The sequence below is a fragment of the Homo sapiens genome, chromosome 3, assembly GCF_000001405.40.
Source record: "Homo sapiens chromosome 3, GRCh38.p14 Primary Assembly".
Classification (NCBI taxonomy): domain Eukaryota; kingdom Metazoa; phylum Chordata; class Mammalia; order Primates; family Hominidae; genus Homo; species Homo sapiens.
In genome coordinates, this window is record NC_000003.12 from 60,504,730 (window position 1) to 60,521,241 (window position 16,512).

At 37.6% G+C, this 16,512-nt stretch overlaps 1 protein-coding gene across 6 annotated transcripts in view, besides 3 other annotated features; it reads right to left on the bottom strand.

Annotated features, from left to right (window-relative positions):
• Nucleotides 1–5,985: part of a biological region, named in NCBI's record as "origin of replication at fragile site FRA3B", that runs on past the window's edge.
• The window catches only part of FHIT (fragile histidine triad diadenosine triphosphatase), a 1,504,176-nt gene that overhangs the window by 757,453 nt on the left and 730,211 nt on the right, over nt 1–16,512 (bottom strand). The gene's annotated exons all lie outside the window — the stretch shown is intronic.
• Nucleotides 938–2,319: an origin of replication, noted in NCBI's record as "Ori 4; region of peak nascent strand synthesis determined by microarray hybridization of labeled, size-fractionated nascent DNA from APH-treated cells". NCBI's record gives the evidence for it as "EXISTENCE:nucleotide analog incorporation evidence [ECO:0001107][PMID:19815620]".
• Nucleotides 5,148–5,985: an origin of replication, noted in NCBI's record as "Ori 4; region of peak nascent strand synthesis determined by microarray hybridization of labeled, size-fractionated nascent DNA from APH-treated cells". NCBI's record gives the evidence for it as "EXISTENCE:nucleotide analog incorporation evidence [ECO:0001107][PMID:19815620]".

Sequence of the window (16,512 nt, forward strand, 5' to 3'; positions counted from 1 at the left end):
TAATTGTGAGAAGGATAAAATGTTTCCTTAAGGTCATGTAACTGTTAGCTACACAGGTAGCCTTTCTGCCCGGTAGTAAGCCCAATGTGGAAATGAAATTTAGTAGTGATTTAATTTATAATTATTTTTCAAAGTTTGAGGAATAGGAACAACTACATTATGTTCAATAGTCTGAAAGCACAAATTCTGACCTTTAAGTTCAAAGTGGAAGTCAAACTGCTATACGTCAGCATGACAACATCAAGAAAAACCAACAGGTCCCAGGGGACAAGGGGAATACCTGCTTCCCTGCCCACTATCACCCCAAAAGTTTTGTCAGAACTATTTTGGACATTTGTCAAAGATGTATTTTTTTTCCTATTTAGATCATGAGCTGTAAAAACAGAAAAAAACAAAATAATGGGCAGAAATCTATCTGAAACCCACTACTTTTTTTCCTTCCTTTATTTTAATAGATAAAAGGCTAAACCAGGTCATCTACCTAAACAAGACTGGTTCCAGGCCTCTGCTATGGCTAAGTAGTTAAGGAAATGATTTTTGCAATTAGGATGGTCTCATTTATATTGGGACTTCACTACTTACTAGGTGGGTGAGTGTGGACAGCTTACTTCCATACCCCTAGGCTTCTTTCAGCATCTGTGTAAAGGGCCATTAAGTCAGAATTAAATAAGTGGTAGCTGTTATTACTAAATATAAAAGCCTCATAGAAAAGATATGTTAGTTATTAGAAAGAAAATTTTCCCTAAAACTTCTTTTAAAACATCTTATGACAAAGTTACAGAAATATTTTTAAGCCGTTTGTAACTAATACAGACGCACATTCTCTCTCATATTTACACTTTTCACCTTTGCTTCCCATCTGGAGGAGATCATCCTCCAAGGTTTCTTCCAGCATATTTTATGATAATCAGACTATGAATTGGGAATACATATTATTTGGGCTCTGTTTTTGATTGCTATTTTTCATGTGGTAAATCCCAGAAAGCTGCCCAAATCCCCTGCTGATTATCTTGGCCAAGATGTTGACAAACTCTTAGATTTCTGCTATCCCATTGGCATCCATTGGTATTGCAATGGCATTCTTTCATCCAACGGACAAAACCTCTTTCCAAATTCTGACAACTTCTATATTATCATCATTCTTCTAATGTTAATAAGCTTGAATTTGGTAACATTAACCCCACAGTTACCAAATATGGCCTCCTCATGCCAACCCACCTCTGCTTTTTGTAGAAGAAACTATTAGGCCATTTGTAAAAGTCTGGTTTGATGACTCCTCATTTTGTGGCAATTTCATAAATATGACCAACTTTATCATTAGTCTTATTTTCTTTCAATTAATCAACAAAGCCATGAGTAAAATGTGAAAATTTAATAGTCTTTTCCCATGATTTCTCACAGACAATATAATTGAGCTTTCCATGTTATTTTACAGTTCTTTTTATATGGTAGGCACTAATGAAGGAGTCCACAAACACTGGTTACATAGCACACATGGTTGATGTCTATTTTTCACATGGTACTTTGAGGGTGGAGGGTAGGTGGGAAGGGATGGATGTATTCCATAGGATCTGTAGCAACAAGTATAAAGCTAATTTTGTAAACTGCAACTCCTGAACACTGGTGCCTTTGGAGAAATTATTTATCATATATTATCTATATTACAGAGATTGTGTTTGGCAAATCCACGGTTTTAGAGTCAGTACACAAGGCAGATAATCATTTGTCTGAAAATCTCGGACAAGTGTGTTTACTATCTATAGTAGATGGCACCATTTTCTTCACAAATATTTATTCTCCTCTTCTCCTACATCGTGGGAGGAGTATACTACTTTGCTTTACTGATTTCAAGATGGTCATGTGATGTGCTTTGGCCAATGGATCACAAGTGGATATAACACACGGCCCTCCCAAAGGAAGCTTTAAACGTATGTGTGTGGTCTGGGTTGGCCTTCTAACCTCCTGCCCTCTACCATAGGAGCAAAATGTTCCAGATAGGGGCTGCTTCTTCAGCCTGCGTAAATGGAATGAGAAGACAATGGAGCAGACCCAAAGCCAGCTGAGCCCAGCCAAGACCAGCAGAGCCACAGCTGACCTGCAGATTTGTGAACAAGAATGAATGATGTTGTTGTAAACTACCAAGATTCCAGGTTGTTGCCCCATAAAAACTGACGGATATACTATCCCTAAGTCTTAATTACTTCATTTAATAAATTGTGATTTAGTGTGTGTAAAACATAGTGCTGAAGTTACTATAGTGAAAAAAAAGCATATACTGCCCCTGCTCTCATAGTCTAGAGGAAGAAAATGGAAATTGCACCATCATTCTAGCACATGTGAATTACAAACAAGTAAATGCTATCAAGGAAAGAAATGTGGTTCCATTAGAACATATAATAAAGGAAAGTGGCCAAGACTGAGGTTTCAAAAGAGCCCTTCTAGAAGAAGGGATACGTGAGTTGGCATTGGTAGAATGAACAGGAGTTAGCAAGGTAAAAAGACAATGCAAAAACATTCCAGTCAAGAGAGAAACAACATGCAAAGGCCTATGGCTAAAGGAAACACGATTTGGTGGAGGAATGAAAGAGGCTAGTATGGCTGGGCATGAAAGAAAGAGGGAGGCCTGGCATGTGGTGAGATTAGAGAGAAAGACTGAAGCAAGACCAGAGGCCTTTAAAGGCCATGTTTTAAAAGCTAGGGTCTTTATCCTATGTACGAAAGGAAGCTAGCAAAGGTTTTTTGTTTTGTTTTGTTTCATTTTGTTTTTTTACAACAACAACAGCAGCAACAACAAAACTTGTATTTTAAGCTCAGGGGTACGAGGGTAGGTTAGTTACATAGGTAAACTCGTGTCATGGCGGTTTGTTGTACAGATTATTTCATCACCCAGGTATTAAGTCTAGTACCCGTTAGTTATTTTTCCTGATCCTCTCCCTCCTTCCATCTTCCACCCTCTGATAAGCCCCAGTATACATTGTTTCCTCGGCCCATATGTCCTTGTGTTCTCATCATTTAACTCCCACTTATAAGTGAGAACATGTGGTATTTGCTTTCCTGTTCCTGCATTAGTTTGCTAAAGACAATGGCCTCCAGCTCCATCCATGTCCTTGTAAAGGACATGATTTCATTCTTTTTATGGCTGCATAGTATTCCATGGTGTATATGTACAACATTTTCTTTATCCAGTCTACCACTGATGAGCATTTAGGTTGATTCTATATCTTTGCTATTGTGAATAGTGCTTCGGTGAACATATGCATGCATGTGTCTTTATAGCAGAATGACAAAGGTTTTTCAATGGGGATAAAGTAAGGAGTTCTTCATCAGTTTGTGTTTGATAAAGCTCTGACTGCTAGCTACATGGAGAATGTATTGCAGGGAATGTAGAGTGAAGACAATAAATAAGCTGAGTGAGGAATGCTGGTGGCTTGGATTAGGGCACTGGCATTAGAAATTAGAGAAATAGATAGATTTGTGAAATTTAGGAAGTAAAACCAGCAAGATCAGCACTGTGAATACAGTATTGCATGTTAGAAAAAGAAGGATGTTCTATAGTACTACTATCCATGAAGCGATAGATCTTACAATAAAGAAGGAATCTAAGAAATAATGTCTCTGGATTATGAATTTGACTTAATTTATCAATTAGGTTTGACTACTTGAAAATAACCCATAATGGTAGGTAATTTCAACTCCCTGCCACCACAGTTACAGGTGGAAACTGTTATTACTGAATAATGGTGTGAGCATAAATGATGTTTGTCAAACTTGTGAATCTTAGGAAAACTCTTTGGACAAGTGAGTGAATATTAATTTAGACTTCATTGGAGAGTTCAAGTTTTTTCTCTTTCCATATAATCTATGTCATCTTTTTGGAAAAGGTGAAAACAAAAAAATAGATAATACAAAGTACTTCAAAATGCCAAAGACTACCCTCTGAGCTAGCTTGAATTCTATTCCTTCTATTTATTTGGATCAATTCTTATCCAAATCTGTGAGATTTGTATATTATGAGGGTGTTTTCTTTGACATCTTAAAGTTCAAAGATGTGTTTCAACAATCTTTAGAGTAGGTACTTATGGCATCACAGCTTAGCTTCTCAAAAAGCCAATTATAAGACACAGCTGTTACCATGCCAAATTCCTATATATTTGGTTTTAAAAAAAACTAATTCTACACCTGGCTGATGAAGTAAAGACGAACGTGATAGTATAAATGTACAGACACAAATCACTGCTTTAAGATTCCCTCTCTAGACCCACATAGTACATATCTGTGGTGTCTACCAGCTAAGCTTCTCTTCCTATATTCCCACCCAAATTCTTTTGGGGTACCTGCAACTCCCCCATTGCAAGCAGTCCTGGTAGGCTATCAAATAAAACACCTTATCTACCAAGCAAGAGATCCAGGACAGGCCAAACAGATGGCGTGCTCCAGGAATGTGACTCTTGGCGATTCCAAATGATACCAGGACATGTATGGTTGGAGCTACATCACTTCAATGGCAGCATCCTGAGGAGACTGTCATTACCGCAACCAGGATACCCAGAGCTGCCCCAACTTCTATTATTTCTGAGGCCTGTTTGTGCTTAGCTTTCAAATTTCAGTCTATGACCTGCTTCCCATAGCTTTCCAATCTTGTGTACTATTACATAAGTAGAAGCTGATTCTCAGATAAGACAAGTTGTCCAAAATCACACAGATAATAAATAGATGAATTAGGATTCACATCTCTGTTAGACTGAATCCACATTCATAATCTTAATAAATTCATTATACTGTTCCTATGATCACATCTCAAATGGAATTTGTAAAAAGCCCAGTAACATTTGTTTATTGCCTTAGCCTACCACTTAGAAATTACAATGAAATGTTAACTATATCTGCTATTTTGCTATTCGCAAGTGACAGATGACTTGGAAAGCATGTCCACTTTAGTCCTCTAAGCACATTTACATTTTCATATTGCCTTCACATGACATTTCTGTGGCTACACTTGCAATCCAGACTAGTCTTTCATCCTCTGTTGACAATGATCTGTTTCATTTTCAGAGAAAACTACCCAATAAGTCTCTTTAACGTTATGGATATAGTCTTTCTAAGGAATAGGAAGAAAATATTTTTTCATTGTCTTACAGTTTTTTTGTTTCAATGAATACATCACGTACCTGGTAAAGAAACCTTGCTACCGTCTCAACCTTTGCCAACATTATCATTCACAGAGATTCCAATGAGTGATACAAACCCTAGCAGCTTCAGCCTACAGCTTGGTGAGGTTGACTACAAAGAGCGCCCATCCCAGAGTTACTAGTACTCTTATTTTGCCATCTTTATTTTTGTCTCTGGAAAATGAATAAAATGTCAGCTTCAGTAGCAACATACTGTGGAATTCATAAAACAAAGGTCAGGTATGAAGAACACAGGAAACCAATGGTAGCAAAAGGAAACCCAATGCCTGAGCTGGCCATCTTGGCGAGTGGGGAAAACTAGAACAGCACTGAAAACCAAGCATAGTTAAGCCAGGATTGATGGGTAACAGCTGCACTTTGCAATTCACCTGCAATTCAGATCCAATTTCACATATTCTGCAAGCCCAAAAAAGGCCAATTATTGTTAAGTTTCTATAAGAGTTTAAACGGCCATGATTCATTTTTGTTTTCCTTTAGGAATTTTAGGACCCCCTAAGAAGTATTCTCTCTTCTACATATCATTTCTAGGCCTTGAATTTGAATGGAGCATCTGCTGAGTATAATGGACCTATTTGGCCTTTTATCTCATTTTTTGTGAAGCTAGTCAAATATGTATCCTTCCACTAGGGTCAGCATCGACTAGATGGACTAGGAAGAATTTCATTAGAAAATGAGATCTCATGGGAGACGATAAAGACCAGGCTTCCAAGACAGAGATGTGAGTTCAAGTCTCTGGTATTTACTAGCTGAAGGGCTGTGGGCAATCATGTTACCTTCTTGAACCTGCTCCCCCACCTCCCCCCACACACACAATATAGAAATACCTAATTTGTACAATTACGAATCCAAAATATTAAATTTAAATTTAAGGTTTTAGCACAATGGCACATAGGAATGACTATAGTGCCATTATTAAAAATCCAGTAAGTGCATTTATGCACCATATAATGTAGTATATGTTGTAAATTCAATAGTACATAATAGAATCATAGTCTCTAACCTCGGAGGTCTTACATCTAATGTTAATGACAAACCAAGAATAAATTCCAGTAAGGGGGTGAAAAGTGTTCTGATGATGGGGGAAATGCAGGTAATAATGAGTAGCTATTTTATTATTAAAAACGTAAAACACATGTACAGCAGAGTGGTCAAGAATCTAAACTCTATCATCAGAATGCCTAGGTGTGAGTCTCATGTCTGCCCATTACTTTCAGTGAGACTTTGCATAAGGTTATCCATCAGTGAAATTAAAATGATAATATTAACTATCTTAAAGGGTTTTCACAAGGATTAACAGAGAAAATATGTATCGTACTGAGAATGGTGCTGGAGATATACTAATCCTTCAATAAATATTACCTATAATTACCACCATTATGCCAATTCCATCAGTACTGAGCTATACAGAAATGGTCGACACCCTTCAGAATGTCTCCTTCTACACAGACAAACATCGCTTTATGTGTTTTAAGACAATCAAGCTATAACTAGAGAAAAATCTAAGGTATCTCTAAAGACACTTTCAACTCAGACCATTTATCTTTAATCAAAAATTTGGAAATTTTGATGTTAAAATTCTGAAATTATTTTGAGGGTACTATAGGGTCTTAGAATAAATAGAAGAGAAAAATAAACATAAAATGAGAGGAAGCACCCCCATAGTGCTGGATTTTAATGGAGGTATCAGCATCAATCCATGATTTAAAATATATGTATACATATTTTCCAGTCCTTTCTAACAGAAGGGCCTAGAAACAATGTCACCTGAGTAGCCATGAGCACACTTAATGCCCAGATCTTGGTTTCTAATTATCTTCTATTTAAATGAACCATATAGCTAATTCCAGATCTGAAGCAGGGAAAGTATGTTATGCCAGGAAATGAGGACAGCTTATAGATAAATAGGGTTATCTCAAAAGGGCAGAGACATCTGAATAAAGGGACTTCTGCTGTCAAATTGGGCAAATTTAATCAAAATGATATAATAAATGGATTCTAACACCTTGAATTAAAAGTGATCTCAGTTTACTAGATGAGAGAGAAACAGCAACAGACAAAAAGGGGCTAAAAAAATTGAGGAGAGGTAAAGTTCTTCCTTACAGAATAATGTCTGTAAATATATGTTGAAAGAACGACAAAAATAGAAAGCTAACATCTTATATATCCCATATTATAAATGACTCAAGCCAGAATCACCAACAAATGCTAAAACAAACAATTAGGGGAAATCTTATTGTGGAACAAGACATGTCTATTAATTCAAGTCACAGCAAACCTAGGAAAAGATTGACTGATATGTAGCCATGGTAATAAGTAGCATCCTGAATCAGATTAAAGTCTATTTAATTGGCACTTTCTAGTCAACCAATCAGTAACAGCCCTTTATTGCTAAAAGACAGCCAGTCAGCAACAGACTCATACATCTCTAAGTGCCAATTAAGCAACCTGCCCCACTCCTCACCTGAATCAACATGTTTCCACATATGTCAGCTTACTTACTTCTGAAAATCTACTTAACTCCATACTTTCCACTTTGGTCTACTCAGACTGAACTCGACCAGCATAGTTCTCCTTTACAATAAATTCAGCTTTGTCTTTGAATTTCAGATGAATGGTGAACTGCATTATCACCCCACTATATAATAATTAAAAAGAAAAAAACTGTGTCTTTTACAGTGGGGTAATCTGGCAGTCATCAACTAACCAAATGGTGAAACTTGGCATTGTCATTAGTGATGCCAATAGCCTGACAGGATGTACTGATGCAGAGGCAAGGGGACAACATAACCTATTTGGTGTCCTTGCCAAAAATGGTTTAAATGAACCGAATCAGGAGAAAACAATGAGATGGATCAAGATAGTAGGCTGTTGCATGGGCCATATGGCTTGGAATCTTCAAATAATTTAATGTCATGAATATCCAAGGGAGTTAGACAATTGATATATATTTTAAAATATTTAATAACCAAATGCAATTTATTAATTTATGAATAACCAAAAGCAATTTAGGAACCTTGACTGGATCTGTGTCATGGAGGAAAAAAAGCCAACTGAGAAAGCAAATTGAGAAAATCTGAATATGGAAAATATGATATTACTGAACTAATGTGAATTTTCTTGGGTGCAGTAAATGGGGTTAGTTGTGTAGGAATGTTTCCTTATTCTTGGAAAATGCAAGCTGAATTATTTAGGAGTAAAGCATCCTAACATCTGCAGCAGACTACTGTTTGTTAGAGGGTTTGGCACAAAGGAAGTGTCTACAGAGACACGGCACAGATATATCAAGATGTCAAAGTTAATGAATCTCAATGAGAGATAAACAGGTGATCACTGAACTGTTCTTTCAACTTTACTGAGGTTGAAATTTTTACATTCTATTTACTTTTATTCTGAATCTTATATACACAGACCACCCATGGAATTTCCCAGGTATTTTTCTTCAGCCTCAATTTCTCACTTACAGTAAAAATAAATGTGTTGTACTCTGTTTTTGTAAGTCAGCTCAAAACTTTATTGGCAGAAACAGTGGTCCAAATAAGCAAAGTTCAAAACATTTAATAATAATTTTCCCCTACATAAAAAAGGCAAATATTTTTCAGTTAAGGATAACAAAGATAAGATTCCCTTTGGAGTTTAAAATCCTCCAATCTTTCAGCTTTGTCCATGTCATTATCCTCAGCAAACACACACAGGAACAGAAAACCAAACACCACATGTTCTCACTTACAAGAGGGAGCTGAACAATGAGAACACATGGACACAGGGAACAATACACACTGGTGATATGGACAGGAAGCAGGAGGGAAGGGTCCCTGGTGAGGGTTCTACTCTCAAGCCTGGACCCATGGCCTTAAATGAGAATAGGCATGCTTGTTTTTGTGCCCAGATGTTGCCTTTTCCAAAACCACTCTGACCTGCCCTGCACCCTATCCTGTGCCCATAAGAACCCCAAACCCCACGCTCCATGAGCAGAAGAGCAGCAGAGCGGCAGAGCAGAGAACAGGAGAGAAGAGGAGAGAAGTGTCTGAACGTGGAGAGGACAAGAGGCAGCTGGACATCGGAGACTAGGTTGGGGAGAAGTTTGGCCAGGGACAGCCTTACTCCAAGGGAAGATTATCTTCCCACTCCATTCCCTTTCCAGCTCCCCATCCTGCTGAGATCCACTTTCATCACCCAATAAAATCCTCTGCACACACTACCCTTCAATCCATTTGTGTGACCTGATTCTTCCTGGATGCCAGACAAGAATTCAGGAGGCACTGGGTGTGGAAACCCAAAAAGGCTGTCACACTGACTCTTCACTGAGCTGGCTAACACTTAAGCTGTCTGTGGATGGCAAGGCTAAAAGAGCATTGTAACACACTTGGACGCTGCCATGGGGCATGCACAGGGCCTGCTTCTGCTGGAGAGAAGCAGCCAGCAGTTCCAGTGTTCCTTCACTCCGGTTCCCACACCCGTTTCCTTGCACGCTCCCTCCCGTGGGGAGTGGCCAGCAGTGGGCTGAGTAAAACTAGCAGCTTCAGTTCCTGCCAGCGAAGTGGTCAAGGGAGCTCCCGTTTCACTGGGGCCTGTCGAGGAGGTGGGGAGAAGGAGAGCATCAGGTTAAATAGCTAATGCATGCAGGGCTTAACACCAGGTGACGGGTTGGTAGATGCAGCAACCACCATGGCACATGTTGACCTATGTAACAAACCCACACATGCTGCACATGTATCCCAGAACTTAAAGTTTTAAAAGATAATAAAAACAAGAGTTATAAGTGGTGGAACAACAACAACGACAAAAATCCTCCAGTGTTTATCATAAGCCATTTTGCCTCCAATGTCAGTAAGACAACCTAGAAGTCTCTGAGAGGAGAGAAATCTTTCCAGATCCATCAGGAGACACAGAAGTCACATGAAAGCGTTCCTACAGACACATGAAAATGCTAAGGGTATCTTTGGACACTGAGGACTCTCCCACCAACAGCCACACTGACAACAGCCTTTGGTGTCTCACTCAGAGGAGTCCCTGGTGGGAAGCCAGGCTGTAATCTGTCACAAGAGCATGTGAGCAGAGGCCACCTTACTAGATAAAATGCAGCTGGTTACCGCATTCCCTGGAGGGACAGTGACCTCCGACAGACAAGGTGAGGCAGGCAGACAAAACAGTGGGCACCGCAAATGAACAGGCAGGCGCGGAGTGGTGCCTGGAGGAAAGCCTCTGACCTGGAGCCGAGGGAGAGCTGCTAGATAAACAAGCCATTATAAGAGGGTAATATTCCATCCTAGTGTGAGCGGAAGCTGGGAAGAAAACCAACTGTAGGCCTGATGTGGACTGCAGCTGGCAGGAAGGCTGCAGAGCTCGGTTCAAGGCAGGAGATCCTGCCCCTGTCCCTGGCACAGAACACAAACAGCACCACTGGATGTGGTGGGAGGAGGAGGAAGGAAAATCTATACATTTACGGGACGTGAAATGCAAGAAATTGAGGGAATTCGTCCAGGAAGGAGGAATGACACCATTAATATCAGTATTTATGGGCTTACAAGAAGATAAATGCATTTCAAGAGTAGCCTCACCCCAAAGAGAACTAACCACACAATTAAGATCAAGGCTACTGTCATAGACCTGGCTCTGCTTTGAAAAACAAGCTACAAAGGGAAGTTTGGGCTTTAATTTAAAAAAAAAAAAAAAATGTTCACGGAAATAAGAGAAACTTTAAGAAAACTTGTAGAACACAAAAATCACATTAGACTCTTCTATAATTCTCATAACAATAGAAACTTAACAATAATGGAGCTTATATTTGAATGCTTCATATGGACGAGAGAGAGTTTAAGCATTTTGCATATATTAACTCACATGATCCTCACAACAATTCCGCTGGGTAGATACTATTACCGCCCATTTGAAGCATAAGGTAACTGAAGGAAATCTAGGTTAAGTAATTCCCAGGGCTTGCTCTTGTAAGACAACTGAGCTTGGATTCACATCCAGGCCCTCAGCTGCAAAGCTTATATTCCTCAGCCCATGAATACTGCCTCTGGGTATGCAAAAATCACCTTTGCCTTCAGGAAATAAGGCTCACATTTTTAAGTGAACACTCAAGTTGATATAGTGGGGAAGGCGGGGAAGGCAGGGAAATCTGGAGCTGAGACAAAGGAGTGGGGAAACATACTATGGGTTCAGAGGACCTATCCACAAACCTGTTGGTCTCTGTACCTCTTCACGCTGTTGAAAAATTGACTACACCGAAGAGCTTGAATTTATGTGACTATATTTGCTGATATTTAATTCCAAGTTAGAACTAAGAAAATTCTAAAATATTTATTCATTTACTTAAAATAATAAACCCATATGTTAATGTAATATTTTAATAATATTTTCTAAAACAAAAAAACTAGTGTGAAGAGTGACAAATCTCTAATGAATGGCTTGATAGAAGATAATTGCATCCTTATTTCTGCTTCTGTATGCAATCTATCATGAGATGTCTTCGCTAAAGCATAGGAAGAAGTTGGCCTCATATAGACATATAGTTGGAAAAGGAACTACTTCACAAATTCTGCAAAGGTCTTGGGGACCTTCCGGGGCCCCAGGACCACTGGTCTAGAGAAAGGACTCTAGAGTTAGACCACCTGGATTTGAAACCTGGCTCTGCCACTTAATAGCTGTTTGGTCTAGATCGATTTAGCTCATATTATCTCATTCTCTCATCTATAAAATGGAGATACCAACAGTACCCACCTGATAGGTTTGCTCATGAGTGCTAAATTAATATTTATCAAATGCCTAGAACAATCTCAGAGCATAAATATTATATGTTAGATGAATAAATAAAATGACCTGGCTTTGCAAGAAGCATCTCCGCCAGAGTAACGTCTCTGTACTGAATTGTACATTCTGACAGCTGAGACAATGACAGGGATCACTTGAGCGAAAGTGATCAATTACACCCATGTTATAATAGGGATAATTATAATAGGAGCTTCAGTAAATTGAGAAATCAATTGAGATACAAACTTCGACTTCATGGGAGCTAAGAAAACATAATCATTTGAATCTCTACTCCTCTGAGGATGGATAGCAACATCCTTTCAAAACCCTTTCATGTTCAAAGTCACATCAGACAGGGGAAATTCTTTAATGTAATTTCTGTTGCATTTTGGCTATAAAAACATGTCGAGAAGTTGTTAAGCTGACAAATTCCAAGGTATCTCTTAATGACAAAAAGTGGGTGAATAGTTATAAAGGCTCAAGAGTTAATGTTATTTTAGGGTTAAGTTAAATATATTTTTACCTGTGCAAATTTTTATCTATTTCATTTTTAAAAATTGATAAAGGTCATTCAGGAGGTGATTTGAGAACACACAACTTGTTGTAGATATCTTTCTTATTTATATTATTGCCATATATGATGCAATACATGTAAAATTCTTCCATCCCATCCTACTATACCTTTCACATATTCTTTGACATTTTATTCCCTCCATCAAATATGAGTTGTCTTTTAGATAGCATCGGAATCATAGGATACTAAGTAGCTACTTCCTCTGTCTCTCTACACCCACCTCCCTAAAACTACAGGCGGCTGACCCACTGATATTACTATGAATTTTTTGCTCTTCATCAACGGTCAAAGGGTGGTCTTCAGTCCAATGGCCTGGTTAACTGGGAATTGCCATATATGGCTTATCATTTTTAAGAAATTACAATATTGCAGAAAGCATTTTATATGAAAATTATATTAAACATAATCTAGAATGTAAAACAGCACCATAACGTCATATTGAATATAGTACATTTCATGACTCAGAAGACACATTATAGTTGTGCCACAATCCCCAAGATCTGTCTTTTCAATATTACCCCTATGCAGGAAACATGTGAAACTAGCAATTAATAGTATAAAGACCAACTTAGGAGTTCTGTAAAGAAGTTAGTTAGAATGTGAAAACACCGCTGTGCTTCTAGAACCATACTGCCCGGTTCATCATGACACTCCTGGTCTCTCCATTTATAAACTTGGAAATACCATTCTTTACCTTCTTCAAGGGTGGCCAGGAAGATACAGTGAATTTTTAAAGCATGCCTATGAAGTTCCATGAACTTGTTGGTGATAGTGGACTAGCAAAATAAAAATTAGAAGAAAGAAAACTCATTCAAAAAAAATCACAAGAAAATACGCACAAATATTTAATCTCAGGATAGATTTTGCATAAAAGAACAGGAAAAACTCATAAATGACCAAGTTGACAAAACTATGACAAAATTTCTACATGTTAATAACATCTTAAAGAAACTGAAGAGGCTAGGGCCAAAAAAGGAACAATATTTGCAACAAATGTGACAGGTAGAGGGTTAATTCGTAAAAGATCTCTAACATATTGGGTTTTTAAAAATATCCCAATAGAAAAAGAAGCAAAGCACCTTCATAGGTAACTTATTGATAAAGGTAATGTATATATATGTTTAAAAGTTAACTCCACTAGCAATTAGATAATAAAATGTAAACAGTGAGATATGTAAAATCTATCAACTTGGAAAAGGTTAGGCCAAAACAAAAAACCTAATTCTTGAAGTTTATGAGATGTGTACCCCCATGCAGTGCTAGTATACAATAACTTCCGAATGTTCATCCATTTAAACACCACATAATATTATAGCAAGTAGTGATTCCAGTTTAAGAAATTTAGCAGAAACATTACCAAAGATCCTGTACCAAAATATTTGTTACACATATGTCGAAAAGTCAGTAATAACTAATAAATTATAGTAGATCCATATGGCACAATATTATACCATCGTTAAAAATTTCATTTATATGCAGGCTGGGTGCGCTGGCTCATGCCTGTAATCCAAGCACTATGGGAGGCAGAGGCAGGCAGATTGCTTGAGGCCAGGAGTTTGAGACCAGCCTGGCCAACATGGGGAAACTTCGTCTCTACTAAAAATACAAAAATTAGCTGGGCATGGTGGCCTGTAATCCCAGCTACTCAAGAGGCTGAGGCAGGAGAATTGCTTGAACCCAGGAGGTGGAGGTTGCAGTGAGCACCGAGGTGGCACCAATGCACTCTAGCCTGGACAACAGAGTGAGACTGTCTAAAAAACAATTATTTTTTACATACATATTAAAACGTCAGAAAAATGTCAACAATGAAGTAGGTTAAAATCATGTTATAAAGTGTTTCTCTTTTTCAAGAGAAACATGTAAGAACAAAGAAAAAAGTAGAAAGGAATAAACTGCAGTTTTGGCAAAGGTTATTTCTGGAAAATAAGATTATAGATGGTTTTTATTTTGTACAGTGGGCAGATATTCTTATGATTAGAAAAAATAAATGAAAGGTTTAAAAATGGGTTACACTTGATATAAACTAGACTGCAGCTTCATAGATATAATTTAAACAAAACGTTTATTTAGTCAAGCAATTCATTAGCTGGTTACTGGTAGACTGCATTAAAAACACCAAATAGTTTGAATATATTTACAGTTGGCCCTTGAACAATTAAGGGGCAAGTGATCCTGTACCACTCCCCATCTGCATAGTTGAAAATTCACATGTAACTTAACTTCCCAAAACTTAACTACTAGTAGACTATTGTTGACTGGAAGCCTTACCAATAAACACTTGATTAACAAATATTTTGTTTATGTATTATGTATTGTATTCTTAAAGTAAACTAGAGAAAATATTAATATTAAGAAAACCATAAGGAAGAGAAAAGACATTTACAGTATTATACTATATGTATTGATACCATAGCTTGACATCATCTATTTACAAGATGAATCATCTGTCTAAAACTGTAGGTACATATCAAGGAATTTAACCTTTTCTTGTAACATCATGGCTTTTCTCTGCTTCTTGGGAGCACGTCCAGCATCACTAGTGACCCTTCATGTTAGTCCCATGGTACTATTCCAGGTTTATGGTATGCATCACACACAAAGAAAAATGAGAACCATGAGAGATCACTTTTTACTGTGAAACAATTTACTGGAGTGACCATCAGCTCAGAGATGATTAGTGTCCTGAGGAGTTTTAAACAGATACTCCCAACACTTGAGCTCACCCCAATAGCAATACAAGGTGGCTACAAATTTCTTATAGTACAGTATGTACTATAGTTAATTTTATGCATTTATGATTTCATACACCATCTTTATATTTCTTTATATTCCTCTCAACTGCAAGTGGCACCATGTCCAGACTGTGTTTGTGTGCCTACGTTTCGATAAATTTTAGGCTTGTTTGTGTTTATGGTACTAAATGATAGAACAGACTAGTATCTACATATATTAATGACATACATTTATTCTTTTTTTAGATATTTCTAGCTAGTTTTTTTTCAAATTGTCACAAATGTCCAAAAAATTTTTCTAATATACTTATTGAAAAAAATCCACAGAAGTGGACCCACACATTTCAAACCTGTGCTCTCCAAGGATCAACTGTAATTCCTTTTCTCCATAACATTTCAGTAGTATCAGAACTACATTAATGCTCCGTACCTCCTGTGTACGGATTATATCAGGAGGCTGAGCTGTGGATGAAAGAGATTTTAAAAAGAAACAGTAGTGTGATTTGAAACTAAATAAAAGAGAAACATCTCGTCTAGAGAGCATGTCAGTCCTAGTCCAAACCTTTCCAGCATGTACAGGCTGAACACTCCAAAATGAAGGTCTACTGCTTATTGCTGAATTGTTGGTAGTCTCAATGACCCCAGGATTGCAGAGATGCTTCACTTTCAAAAAAAAAATCCATTAAAATTAGTTCAAAGAGGACACTAACATGGTGTTAGAGGGTCATTTTTCAATGTTGTGGGTGGAGGAGCGAGACACTTAGAGTAACTCCCATTATGGTTAATGAGAGTTGAGCATCTAGACTCATCTAAACCCCCTGAGGGTTTAATTTAAAACCACTATGGCAAAGCAACTCTAAGCCATGAATGAACAGCAGCATTTTTCACACACCTACCTCTTCCCAAGTACCAAAAACAGTAGAAATAATAAAGGTGAGTTTGTTTGGTTGGGTTTGATTTTTACTACCATGCCTCATAGAAGAGAAAAAAAAAGGAAAAAGGCTCATATCAAATGCCTATAAATTTTTTGGTTTATTTTAAATCCAGGGTGTTATTTTAATGCCATTTTTAAATGACTAATTTAAACTTGAGTCTGGGTTTTTCCAGTTGCTATGTGATGTTCACATAGAAATGCAGTATTTTTTTAAATTCCATTTAAGCTTCAGTTTTACAAATTTAGGGCTACCATTATATAATGTCCATTCCAAGACCCATGCTCTTGATCAACCTTAAGGCATCAGGATAATGGACAATAAAAAAA